This window comes from Homo sapiens, chromosome 20 (assembly GCF_000001405.40).
Source record: "Homo sapiens chromosome 20, GRCh38.p14 Primary Assembly".
NCBI classification, from domain to species: domain Eukaryota; kingdom Metazoa; phylum Chordata; class Mammalia; order Primates; family Hominidae; genus Homo; species Homo sapiens.
Genome location: NC_000020.11, coordinates 3526937 through 3540827, shown reverse-complemented (window position 1 = coordinate 3540827; position 13891 = coordinate 3526937). Strand labels below are relative to the sequence as shown.

Sequence of the window (13891 nt, the reverse complement as noted above, 5' to 3'; positions counted from 1 at the left end):
TACTGTTCCAAAAAGTTTCCCTCACTCATGATGCACATACACACACACACACGCACACAATTATATTTGAATTCAACAAATAACTCCTGAAGGCCTATGCAGTGGGCAATACACAAGGAACATGATGGATATTATTCCTGATTTAAATTTTTCACAGAAATAGTATCATTCAATATATCACTCTCAAAACATTTTGTAATGATAAACTTCACCACCACCACAAGGAGCAGGTGAACTTAATAGAACTATCACAATTTTACAGATCAGGGCACTGAAAAGAGAAGTCAAGTACTATGCCTAGAAACTTACCCAGGGCTACAGAAACCAAGTTAGCACTAACACACAAGTGATGGGACTGAAGAACTAGTATTCTTTCCATTAAATAAATGTGTTAAGTGATAATAAAGGTGAACCCAGTAAGAATGCAATCCAGAAGATATGTTTAAATTTAGAAATCAAACGATGAAAGAAGGCTTGTAAGACTGAGCTTACCTAAATGCAGCAACTAGCGGTGCATAAATTGAGTCCCCATCATAAACATATAAATGGTCCCAACTACACTCTGTAGCAAAATGATTGAAACGAAGTCTCATTATTCTATTTGGCCTGAAAAGAATAAAAAAAGTAATTTATAATAAAGTTATCACAACTATCAGACATTTGAGAATATAAAAATTCAGATTTTTAAATTAATAATATGTAACACAGTCTAACAACTGCCCCACCAGTATTCCTTCATTTGTCAAAGATTTATTTAGTATTCTCCAAGTACAAGAGACTACTAAACATGCAATGGGAAACAAAACTGATGTGGTCCATGATTCTGGGCCTTACAGTCCATTCAGTGGCCACTCTTTAACAGCTTCTGAACCAACCCATTAGCCCTTCCATTTCTGCACTTCCTCATTCAACTTCAGATTCCACACTACGTCATTTCATAAACATGCCTGCCAATCCTCTAAATTTGCCAGCCCCTCTGATTTTTCAGGACACTGGCTGGCAAAAGCTCTGTTGTACAGGAAACCAGTTATCTGCTCTAAGATTGAACCAGGAAAAAAAAAGTGGGAGGGGGCGGTGGAGGGAAAAAAAAAACAAAACTAAGCTGTATTGAAGAAAGCCAAACTTCTATACCACACCACTGGGTAGACTGGTTCCAGCAATGGTCTCTGCTCTCCAACTGCAAATGGCACTTAGATTCTGCCAGCAGTCCTACCAATTCTCTCTCCCTCTCCACAACTGCTACTCTCAACGACTATTTCAAACCACCCAGTCCCACCTCCCTGCTTATGCTCAGCAACCAGATAAAAAAACCCTAAAATTCCCATTTTCCAAAATTCTCTTTCTGTTTCTCTTTCTGTTTCTCAAGTATTTGACATCTCCCTCTCATCTGGAACTTTTGCATCCACATTCAAATCTGCTTAAGTATCACATATTTTACAAAAATAAAAACAAAAAGCCTCAAATCCCAACTCTCCCTCTACCAAATACCTGCCCTACCCTTTCTCCTCCTAAAAAGGTAAAACTTCGCAGAAGACTTTGCTTCCTCCAGTGACTCTATCTCACTCACCCCTTCACTCTCTAGCCTGGCTTCAGCCCAACACTCCACTCAGAAAGCTCTGGGAATATCAACATCATTATATCCTGCTGATGCCTAATTCTATTTCTCCAGTTTAGAACTTTCCTATACCCCACACTTTTCTAACATCTCTAGGTTGACAACTAAATAAATACATAAACAAGTAAACTCAGATGGTGATGAGTACTGTGAAGAAATTAAAAGAAGGTGATGTGGCAGTGCAAAAAGTCGTAGGGAGATAGGCCAGTAAGCTTTGGAGATGTGAGAATGACAAGAGACAAGCCATGTGAAAAGTGCTGGGAAAAACGTTTCAGACGGAGGGAACAGCACAGTCTTAAGGGAGAAAGAGGCTGATGTGTCCAAGCAACATGAAGAAAATCAGCATATCTGAAACACAGCAAACAGAGAAAACCTTAAGAGATGAGAAGTGGGAGGTGGGCAAGGGGCAAAAGCAGAACTCAGGAGGCCAATTTCAAGGCTATTAAGTGGCCCAGGAGAGAGACGATGGTGGGTCTCCCAGCTGTAGAGATGGAGGTGAAAAGCAGTCTGGTGATGGATTGGGGAGACATTCCAAAGGGAAAACTGACAGAACTTACTGACAGGCTAAATGTAGGGAATAAGGAAAAGGGGGAATGAGAGTTTGTTGCTTAGTTTTTCACTTACACTGAGGAGGAACAACCATTGAGAGCACATTCAGAAAAACAGTGGAGGAGGGTGTCAGGTGGCAATGAACTGATAGGACACAGCAGAGCTCCTTAGAGCAGCAGTTCTCAAAATGAAGTCCACAAAATGCTACAGGCCCTGAGACCCTTATGGGAGGTCCCAGGAGGTCAAAACTATATTCACAGTAAAACTAAGATAGCATATATTTTATAACCATGCTGGCATTTACTAATGGTTCAAGGAGAAATGGTGGGTGAAACTGTGGGCATCTTAGAACAAATCAAGACAGCAGCAGCAAATGGTACTAGTGATCACTGCTATTCTTCACCACGAACCACTCATAGAAAAAAGAAAAGCTGCCAGTTTCATTTAAGGATATCTTGATTAAGCAGTTAAAAACTTCTAATGTTATTAAATCCTCACCAGTTAGTAGACATCTCTTTAATATTCTGACAAGATGGAGAGTAAATAGGTGGGGGGAGGGGGGAGGGATAGCATTGGGAGATATACCTAATGCTAGATGACGAGTTAGTGGGTGCAGTGCACCAGCATGGCACATGTATACATATGTAACTAACCTGCACAATGTGCACATGTACCCTAAAACTTAAAGTATAATAAAAAAATTAAAAAATAAAAAAAAGAAATGAAAAAAATAATAATAAAAAAATAAAATAAAATAAAATAAAATAAAGAAAATGAGGCACATATACACCATGGAATACTATGCAGCCATAAAAAAGGATGAGTTCATGTCCTTTGTAGGGACATGGATGAAGCTGGAAACCATCATTCTCAGCAAACTATTGCAGGGACAGAAAACCAAACACCACATGTTCTCACTTATAGGTGGGAATAGGACAATGAGAACACTTGGACATAGGAAGGGGAACATCACACACCGGGGTTTGTCGTGGGGTGGGGGGAGTGGGGAGGGATAGCATTAGGGGATATACCTAATGTAAATGATGAGTTAATGGGTGCAGCACACCAACATGGCACATGTATACATATGTAACAAACCTGCACGTTGTGCACATGTACCCTAGAACTTGAAGTATAATAAAAAAATAAAATAAAAAAATGTAAAAAAAAAAACAAGAAAAAAATATATAAAACACTTCTTTTGCTTAATAGAAGCACAGTGGTTTTCTCAATGAAAACCACTTTTGCAACTGTTTAAGTTGCTAGCTGAACTAGCTACTTTTTTCTTAGAACACCATTTACCATGTTTACTTGAAAGAACAATCAATAAACTACGGTTATTCAGAGTTGGATATCTGGCAGACATTTTCTTAAAAATGAGGAAAGCAAGCCTGCCACTTCAAAGAAAACAACTGACAGTATTTGCTGCCAAAGATAAAATACAAGCTTTCAAGTAGTAATTAGAATTTTGGAAAATTTGTTAACTGCCATACTTAGAACTTTTTGAGGAGATTGATGGGGATACTAACCAATGTGATTTTTAAAATATTATGTAATGGAATAAATATATCAACATATGGAAGATCTGCATAATTCAATGACCTGTTGTTTTCCAAATGACCTATATATCATGTTACCAAAATATGGATGGGCAAAAGATCCATTCAGTGCAAGAAAACCAATGGATTTTAATTTAACAAGTACCAAAAGTTCCTTAACATAGTTTCAGATTCCATACTGCAATTTACTTTTAAGAAATTACTACTTGTTAAGTTTTGATATGGTATCAAAGAAGACTATATACAATAATTTTAAAATACTGTACTATTAAAATCTCTTTTTTCCTACTTCATATTCAAGTGAGGCCTCATCTTCTTGACACGCTTCAACCACAATAACATACTGCAACAAAGTGAATGCAGAAGATATGACAATCCAGCTGTCTTTTATTAAGCTACACATTAAAGAGATTTGCAAAAATGTAAAACAATGCCATTTTTTCACTACAATTTTTTAAATATAGGGTTTTTTTCATTAAAATATCATTTGTACTAACATGGCTTATAATTGTTGCTTTTAAATGAATAAATAATATTTCTTGGTTGTAAGTTCTAATATGGTGAACACAAATAGAAAAACATAAACTTATTTGGGGCCGGGTGCAGTGGCTCACTCCTGTAATCCCAGCACTTTGTGTGGCCAAGGCAGGCGGATCACTTGAGGTCAGGAGTTCGAGACCAGCCTGGCCAACATGGTGAAACCCTGTCTCTACTACAAGATACAAAAACTTAGCTGGGCATGGTGGCACATGCCTGTAATCCCAGCTACTTGGAAGGCTGAGGCAGGAGAATCGCTTGAACCCAGGAGGCAGACGTTGCAGTGAGCCAAGATCACACCACTGCACTCCAGCCTGGGCCACAGAGCGAGATGACATCTCAAAATAAATAAATAAATAAATAATAAATAAACTTATTTGGAATCCTCAAAGTTTAAAAGTGTAAAGAGGTCCTGAGACCAAAAAAGTCTGAGAAGTACTGCTTTAAAAGTCTCCCATGAAGACAAGGAGAAAAAAGGCCAACAGCCAGAGGGACACAGTGGGTCCAGAGAAGGGATCATTTAGGCAATAACAGTTATTACAATTTTCTTATCCACAACAAAAATAGATACTTAGAAAAATAACACAATATTGCAATTTTCTAATGCTTTAAGCAAACCATTAAAAATATGGAACCGTGGCTGGGCGCAGTGGCTCACACCTGTAATCCCAGCACTTTGGAAGGCTGAGGCGAGCGGATCACTTGAGGTCAGGAGTTCGAGACCATCCTGGTTAACATGGTGAAACCCCTTCTCTACTAAAAATACAAAATTAGCCTGGCGTGGTGGCATGCACCTGTAATCCTAGCTGCTCAGGAGCTGAGTCAGGAGAATCGCTTGAACCTGGGAGGCGGAGGTTGCAGTGAGCGGAGATCACGCCACTGCACTCCAGCCTGGGTGACAAGAGCAAAACTCTGTCCCATAAAAATAAATAAATATATATGTGTGTGTGTGTGTGTGTGTGTGTGTGTGTGTGTGTGTAACCGTTTCTGAACTATTACAGTTGGAAATACACAAATTTGTGGTGTGTACAATTCATTTGCAGCATTAAATCAACATGAAACTTTTAAATTAATGAAGGCTAAGATAAAATTCACTTGTCAAATGAAAGGTTATCAAGTAATGTTTTAAGAACTTTATGCTACAGATTGTTAATTTTACTTGTGGGAAAACTAATGTCACACTGACTTCTATGCTAAAAAAACAAAAATTAAGTCAGCCATTTCTACTTACTGTCCTTCAATGAGCCACGTGCACTTCGTTTTGTATTTATAATTTCCAGGTCCATCTGTCACAAACCCAGAAGATCCAGTTAGTCTGTAATTTAAATCAAGAAAGAAAACTTAAGTCTGCTATATTAATTTCATATATTTTTATATATTTTATATATTTTCATATATTAATATTTCTTAATTCTTAATATAATACAAATTAAACATAATGGGTACATTAACAAACACTATAACCAGTAGAAAATGACTAGTTATATTCAGATTGCATAAATTTAGATGAAACAAATACTTATTGCATACATTAAAAAAGAAGACAGAAAAATATTAAAACCAACAGGAATGAACAAAACATACCTAAATCTTATCTTAATTTTATGTCATCCTTTTTCCTTTTGGTAAAGACAGGTCTCGCTATGTTGCCCACGCTGGTCTCAAATTCCTGGCCTCAAAAGATCCTCCCATCTCGGCTTCCCAAAGCACCAGAATTACAGGCTTGAGCCCTCACACCCAGCGATAAATTTCTTAAATTTATTTTTTGTAGAAACAGAGTCTCACGATGTTGCCCACGCTTGAACTTCTGGCCTCAAGCAATCCTCCTATCTTGGCCTCCCAAAATGCTGGGTTTACAGGCATGAGCACTGCCACCAGCAAGTATCTGTTACTATATAAAAATGTTTAATATTTAAGAAGGACGCTATTTCCTTCATCATGGCTGTTTCCAGATATTTTTCTTCCCTCTTTCATTAACATCAGCCACTCTGAACACATGCTCGCTTCTGGATCTGCCTCCCTTACCTTCTGAGTCATCTCCCAGCTACTCCTAATGCACTAAAGATATTAACAAATCGTTCACTCTCTTCCACTCATCTGCATCAACATCTAAGATGTTCCATCCAAAATCCAGTCTCTCCATTTCTTAACCTCACCATTAACTATCTTTTCCTCCACCCCTCTTTAGCCATCCCCTTCTCTGGCCCTTGCTATTACCAGTAACAACATTACCACAAAAAAAGCACCCTGACCTCTGACTACTATCTCATCTCTCCAGTTTATTCCCCCTTTCCAATGAGACTTTGGCCCCATGGAGACCACCAATCCATTGAACTATCATTTCTTCACTGTTCACCACCTACCATCCACACATTTCATTTTCTCACATACCTAGTTAAGACTCCATAATCCATCACGAGAATCATATCCTGCAAACTCCCTGATGTTCTTGCCTTTCTCTTCCTCTGCTGTACTTGCCTGATAGAGATGTATCCATGCCCTACTCCCCAAAATCCATTCCACCCCAAAATGTTAGTCGAAGCCAATCATGTTTTCCCATGCCCCTTGCCACTGACTGATTAGAAATCTGTATCAATTAAAATTAGGTGTGGACCAGGCATGGTGGCTCTTGCCTGAAATCACAGCAGTTTGGAGGCTGAGGCAGGAGGACTGCTTGAGGCCATGAGTTCAAGATCAGGCTGGCCAACACAGCAACACCCTCATATCTATTTTTAAAAAAGAATATGTATCTATATAGATATAGATATACATCATATATAGATATAGATGTAGAAAAAAGATTAGGCTTTAATGCAACTGTCAGAAAAACCTAAATAGTAATGGACTAACCACCAAGATAAAAAAAACCCAAAGATAAGCAATCCAGAGCATGCAATGCATTTCCATGATCATCAGGGACCTAATGCTGTTCTATACTATTGCTCTGTCATCCCCAACATGTGGCTTCTACCTCATAATCCAAGATAGCGGCTCAAGCTCCAGCTATTATACCCAAATTCTACCCAGCAGGAAGGAGGAAAAGAAAACGGGGGGGTACACCCTCTCTCCCTCTGTTAAGTCACACATGAAAATTCAACTTACATTCGATTAGCCAGAAGTTACTGACATGTCTACAAGTAGAGGAAGGCTGAAAAATGCAGCCGTTATCCCAGATGATCATGTACCCATCAAAAAATCAGAATTCTTTTTACTAGAGAAGTAGAAAAAGGCTATGATGTGTAACCATGAATCTCTGACACAGAATGTAATCTAATACTTAGATGTGAGGGCACATCTGATGGATGATTTCCAGGAAATATTTTCTTATTCTTAGGAAAGTGTGTGGACAGGGAGACATGCCACCTAGATCTCCTCTTCAAGGAAGGACTTGCTGCCAGCAGCAGCAGGGAATGTGGTCAGCAGAACATCAATTCCTTCAGGGGCTGCCTTGCTACAGGTCATGCCCTTCCCATGGCAGCCCACACCATGAAGAGGCCCATACCATAGGCTGGGCGTGGTGGCTCACGCCTGTAATCCCAGCACTTTGGGAGGCCAAGGCGGGTGGATCACGAGGTCAGGAGATCGAGACCATCCTGGCTAACACAGTGAAACCCCGTCTCTACTAAAATTACAAAAAATTAGCTGGGCGTGGTGGTGGGCGCCTGTAGTCCCAGCTACTCGGGAGGTTGAGGCAGGAGAATAGCGTGAACCCAGGAGGCAGAGCTTGCAGTGAGCCAAGATCGCGCCACTGCACTCCAGCCTGGGCGACAGAGTGAGACTCTGTCTCAAAAAAAAAAAGAGTATAAAGGCCCAAGCATTTCAATCCAACATGGGACAACTCAAATAAGCAATCCTGCCCCCACAGTTCCCCTTTGTCAGGCCTGCATTGGAGCTCAACTTCTTCCTTTGCCTAATTATGCTTTTCCTTCCAATAACACCTTCCTCTACAATACTATAATCAAGTTGTAACCCAAACTCAGCCTTAGCAAATGCTTTTTAAAAAACAACCTATGATAAACATCCAAGAAGAGACCATTCTTCTCTATCTGGACTTTGCTATAGCTGGATTTTACAGCTGGAAGTACTACAGCCTGAACACAACGCCTGTGCTATGCCTGAACACAAAGCCAACACCAAGAATGACAAATCAAAGGAATGCAAAGTCCCTGAAAAACAGTATCAACCACCCACAAAAACCACCTTACTCTAGGCTTCTAGTTTCTTAGGTAAATTTCCCACTGGTTATTGTTTTATTCCGTGTGTGTGTACACACTTCCTTGATTCTTTGTCTTGGGGCCTAATATAAAAGGTTTTATGGCTCTCCACTATGCTGCTTCTGCTCCTAAGAGTTTCAGTGGACTTCACGTGAACACTTAGGTTTGCAAATCAGCATCAGTTTTATAAAACAAATATTTGTGTTTTTTGTTTTTTGTTTTTGAGACAGAATCTCACACTGACACCCAGGCTGGAGTGCAGTGGCAAGCTCAATGGCTCACTCCAGCCTCAAACTCCTGGGCTTAGGTGATCCTCCTACCAAAGCCTCTGGAGTAGCTGAGACTACAGGCACACACCACTATGCCTAGCTAATTTATTTTAATTAATTTTGTTTTTTAGAGATGAGTCTTGCTATGTTGTCCAGGCTGGGAAACAGGTCAGTTTTATTTTAAATGTTTACTTAGTATCTTTAAACATACATATTTATATAATTTTACAGATAATGCATAGATATGATCACAGACGAATCTTGTTGTTGTTGTTGTTGTTGTTGTTTTAACCCACTTCCCCAGTTACTCTGACCCACCCTTGACCAAGGTAAACATTTAACCACCTACCAGGAATTCTTAAATACTTTTCTTCATACTCATGAGCCTATGATATAGGCATGGTTCTCTTAAATTATTTTTTGGTTACACAAATTATTATATACTTTTCTGCATCTTTCTTTGCTCACTCAACAAAACCTTACGGAAATTTCTCAAACTAATCTGGTATTAGTCTAATTTATTTTTTCTTTATGTAGCATAGTATCCCACCTATGGAGGTATCACTTTTTCCTGCCTTTCCCTACTAATGTTCATTTTGTTTTCAGTTGACTGACAATATGCACATCACTGCAATAAATATCCCTATACATATGGCCTTACTTGGGCTTTTATGTCTAAGAGTAGAAATCTTAGGAGGAGGTATACTAGGCCAAAAGGAATATGAATTTTAATTGTTAACCAAGCTGTCAAATTATTTTCCAAAAGGCTGTAACAATTCACATTTGCACCAGCAATGTATGAGAATATGCTATTCCCCACATCCTCTCAGCACTAGGTGTTCCTGTTTCTTTTAAATTATGTGAGTTTTTAATTCAAAATTCCCTGTGTTCTAATAAATGGCCAACAAGTGGTTACTAAAAGTTTAAAGGAATTTGAAAGAGAAAGGCCAGGAATATCAACCTAAAATTTCAGGTCAAGTTTTACAGTATCATTGATAATCTAGGTGTGGGCATGGGCAACACCTGTACACTAGGAAAACCTAGTTCACTGGCAGTCACACAAAGGCATCAAACTGAAAGGCATTTCAATAATGTAAGGCTAAAATATGAAGAATAAAGACCTTGCCACCACCAATTTCTTAGTTCAAGAATACTGAGGTAATTCTGCAGTGGAAACAAATATAGGGAGAATAGGGGAACAGGAGGCAGGTTTCAAAGGACTCGTCTCATAGTTATTTCTTTCTACTTTACCAGTATTATTACCAGACAACGCAGCCTATAAAATCTCAACTTTTCTCATCTGTTAAGATTTTCTTTATGGTCAAGTACCTTGGACATTAAACTTTGACCACAGTTCCTTGGACATTAAAAAAAGATCTATTCCAGGAATTTAAAACACTATTTCTATACACATATGATTAAGATTATTAAATGCACTATTCAATTCCTTATACTCGTATTTTCATCTACTAGACCTAATTCTGATAAACATGTACTGAAATCCTGGCCAGGCGTAGTGGCTCACACCTGTAATCCCCAGCACTTTGGGAGGCTGAGGTGGGTGGATCACGAGGTCGGGAGTTTGAGACCAGCCTAGCCAACGTGGCAAAAACCCATCTCTACTAAAAATACAAAAAAAAAAAAGAAAAAAAAATTAGCCAGGCATGGTGGCAAGTGCCTATAATCCCAGCTACTCGGGAGGCTGAGGGAGGAGAATCGCTTGAACCTGTGGGGCAGAGGCTGCAGTGAGCTGAGATCGCACCACTTCACTCCAGCCTGGGAGAAAGAGCAAAACTCTGTCTCCAAAAGAAAAAAACATATATATATAATATATAATTTTTTAATATATATATTATATATATATATAAATCTCATACCATGCCTGCTCTACCACACTACTCAGATTATTTTTGCTTTATGTGTTAAGCTTTTTAGCCATACAAGATTATGGCTATTGGATTTTCATAAAATATGCCTTTTATGATGTTAACAATCCACTTACCTAGTTTGATATTTAAATTTCACCTTGTCTAATATTATTATAATTATTGATCTTTTGGTTATTTTCCTGTATCTTACATCTTTATTCAACTCTTTTATTTTCAGCTTTACTTATCAAGTTTTCAATAGTTTGCTTCTTCGAAACAGGACTTGGTTAGGTTTTGTTTCTTAAACTAACCTGACAGTATTTTACTGCCACAATATATAATCTGTTTGCATTTAGTTTAGTGACTGCTATACCAATTTGATTCCTTCCAACCAAATCTTTAATCAATCTTAGTGAAAAGTAATTTACATATAATAAAATGCAGCCACTGATGTGTACAATTTGATAAGCTTTGACAAATGTATACACAAAGTGTAATCTCCTCAAACAGGATATAAAACAGTTTCCTCACCCCCAAAAGCTCTCTTATATCCCTCTCCAGGTAATCTCTCCCAACCTCCACCTCAAACATTGATCTTATCTTTCCCACTATAGATCAGTTTTACAGAATTTGACTTAATGGAATCAAAGACACTTTTGTGTCTTGCTTCTTTTTATCAACATAACTTTTCTAAGTATTGTATCAATAGTTTGCTCCTTCACACTGCTGAGTAGTATTCTCTTGTATGAAAATACACAACTTGTTTATTGGTGGACACTTGGATTACGTAATTATAGGCTTTTATAAATGAAGTTAAGACACGTATAAATCTTTCTGTGGACAGGTATCTACATTTCTCTTGAATAAATATACAAAATGAAATCACTGGATTAAAGTATAGATATGCACTTAAATTTTTAAGAAACTGCCAAACTGTTTCCACCTTACAATCACATTTTCAAGATATGAGAGTTCTACTTATTCCACATCAGTTCCCACATTTGGTATAATCAGACTTTTTATTGCTTATTCCAGTAGGTATGCACTATTCTATCTCATTATGGTATAAATTTGTATTTTTCTGATATTTAAAGATTTTCAGAGGCTGGGCACAGTGGCTTATGTCTATAATCTCAGCACTTTGGGAGGCCAAGGCAGGTGGATCATTTAAGCCCAGGAGTTCAAGACCAGCCTAAGCAACATAGTGAAACCTAGTCTCTACAAAAACACAAAAAACTTAGCCAAGTGTGGTGGTATGCGCCTGTAGTCCCAGCTACTTGGGAGGTTAAGGTAGAAGGATTGCTTGAGCCCAGGAAGCAGAGGTTGCCATGAGCCAAGATGGTGCCACTGTACTGCAGCTTGGATGACAGAGGGAGAAACTGTCTCAAAAAAATAAGATAAAAAAGATTCTGAGTACCCTTTCTGGTGTTTACTGATCATCTGCACATATTATTTTGTAATGTGCTTGTTATTATTTTTGCCCTTTTTTCTAACTTTTATTTTAGGTTCAAGGGGTCCATGTGCAGGTTTCACAGGGGTTTGATGTACAGATAATTCCATCACCCAAGTAATCAGCGTAATACCTGAAAGGCAGTTTTTCAATCCTTACTCTCCTCCCACTCTCCACCCTCAAGCAGGTCCCGGTGTCTGTTGCTCCCTTGTGTCCATGTGTACTCAATGATTAGTTCCTACTTGTAAGTGAGAGTATGTGGTATTTGGTTTTCTGTTACTGCATTAATTCACTTAGAATAATGGCCTCCCTGCATCCATGCTGCTCAAAGGACACAACTGCATTCATTTTTACAGGTGGTAGTATTCCACGGAGTATATGTACCACATTTTTTTTTTTTGAGACGGAGTTTCGCCCTGTTGCCCAGGCTGGAGTGCAATGGCGCAATCTCGGTCAACTGCAACCTCCGCCTCCTGGGTTCCAGCAATTCTCTGCCTCAGCCTCCTGAGTAGCTGGGATTACAGGCGCCCACCACCATGCCCGGCTAATTTTTCTATTTTTAGTAGAGACGGGGTTTCACCATCTTGGCCAGGCTGGTTTGAACTCCTGATCTCGTGATCTACCCACCTCAGCATCCCAAAATGCTGGGATTACAGGTGTGAGCCACCACGCCCGGCCTTCTGGTTTTTTTGTTTGTTTTTATACTTTAAGTTCTGGGATACATGTGCAGAACATGTAGGTTTGTTACACAGGTACACACGTGCCATGGTGGTTTGCCGCACCCATCAAGCCGTCATCTACATTAGGTATTTCTCCTAATGCTGTCCCTCCCCTAGCCCCCCACCCTCCCAACAGGCCCCAGTATGCGATGTTCCCCTCCCTGTGTTCATGTGTTCTAACTGTTCAACTCCCACTTATGAGTGAAAACATGCAATGTTTGGTTTTGTTCCTGTGATAGTTTGCTGAGAATGGTGGTTTCCAGCCTCATCATGTCCCTGCAAAGGACATGAACTCATTTGTTTCTATGGCTGCACAGTATTCCATGGTGTATATGTGCCACATTTTCTTTATCCAGTCTATCATCGATGGGCATTTGGGTTGGTTCCAAGTCTTTGCTATTGTGAGTAGTGCTGCAATAAACATATGTGTGCATGTGTCTTTACAGCAGAATGATTTATAATCCTTTGGGTATACACCCAGTAATGGGATTGCTGGGTCAAATGGTATTTCTGGTTCTAGAACCTTGAGTCACCCCACTGTCTTCCACAATGATTGAACTTATTTACACTCCTACCAACAGTGTAAAAGCGTTCCTATTTCTCCACATCCTCTCCAGCATCTGTTGTTTCCTGCCTTTTTAATGATCACCGTTCTAACTGGTGGGAGATGGTATCTCATTGTGGTTTTGACTTGCATTTCTCTAATGACCAGTGATGATTAACTTTTTTTCATGTTTTTTGGCTGCATAAATGTCTTCTTTTGAGAAGTGTCTGTTCATATCCTTTGCCCACTTTTTGATGGGGTTGTTTGCTTTTTTTCTTGTAAATTTGGTCTTTGTAGATTCTGGGTATTAGTCCTTTGTCAGATGGATAGATTGCAAAAATTTTCTCCCATTCTGTAGGTTGCCTGTTCACTCTGATGATAGTTTCTTTTGCTGTGCAGAAGCTCTTTAGTTTAATTAGATCCCATTTGTCAATTTTGGCTTTTGTTGCCTTTGCCTTTGGTGTTTTAGTCATGAAGTCTTTGCCCATACCTATCTCCTGAATGGTATTGCCTAGGTTTTCTTCTAGGGTTTTTATGGTTTTAGGTCTTACGTTTAAGTCTTTAATC

The 13891-nt window shown here is 39.0% G+C and overlaps 1 protein-coding gene across 4 annotated transcripts in view; it reads right to left on the bottom strand.

Moving 5' to 3' along the window:
- ATRN (attractin) overlaps window positions 1–13891 on the bottom strand; it is a 180101-nt gene that overhangs the window by 110291 nt on the left and 55919 nt on the right. For all 4 annotated transcript variants that reach the window (NM_139321.3, NM_001323332.2, NM_139322.4 and 1 more), the window contains exons 2-3: window positions 5492–5575; window positions 493–606 (exon numbers count right to left, since the gene is read on the bottom strand). In NM_139321.3, the coding sequence (NP_647537.1) occupies window positions 493–606; window positions 5492–5575 (198 nt within the window). The remainder of the gene's footprint in view (window positions 1–492; window positions 607–5491; window positions 5576–13891) is intronic.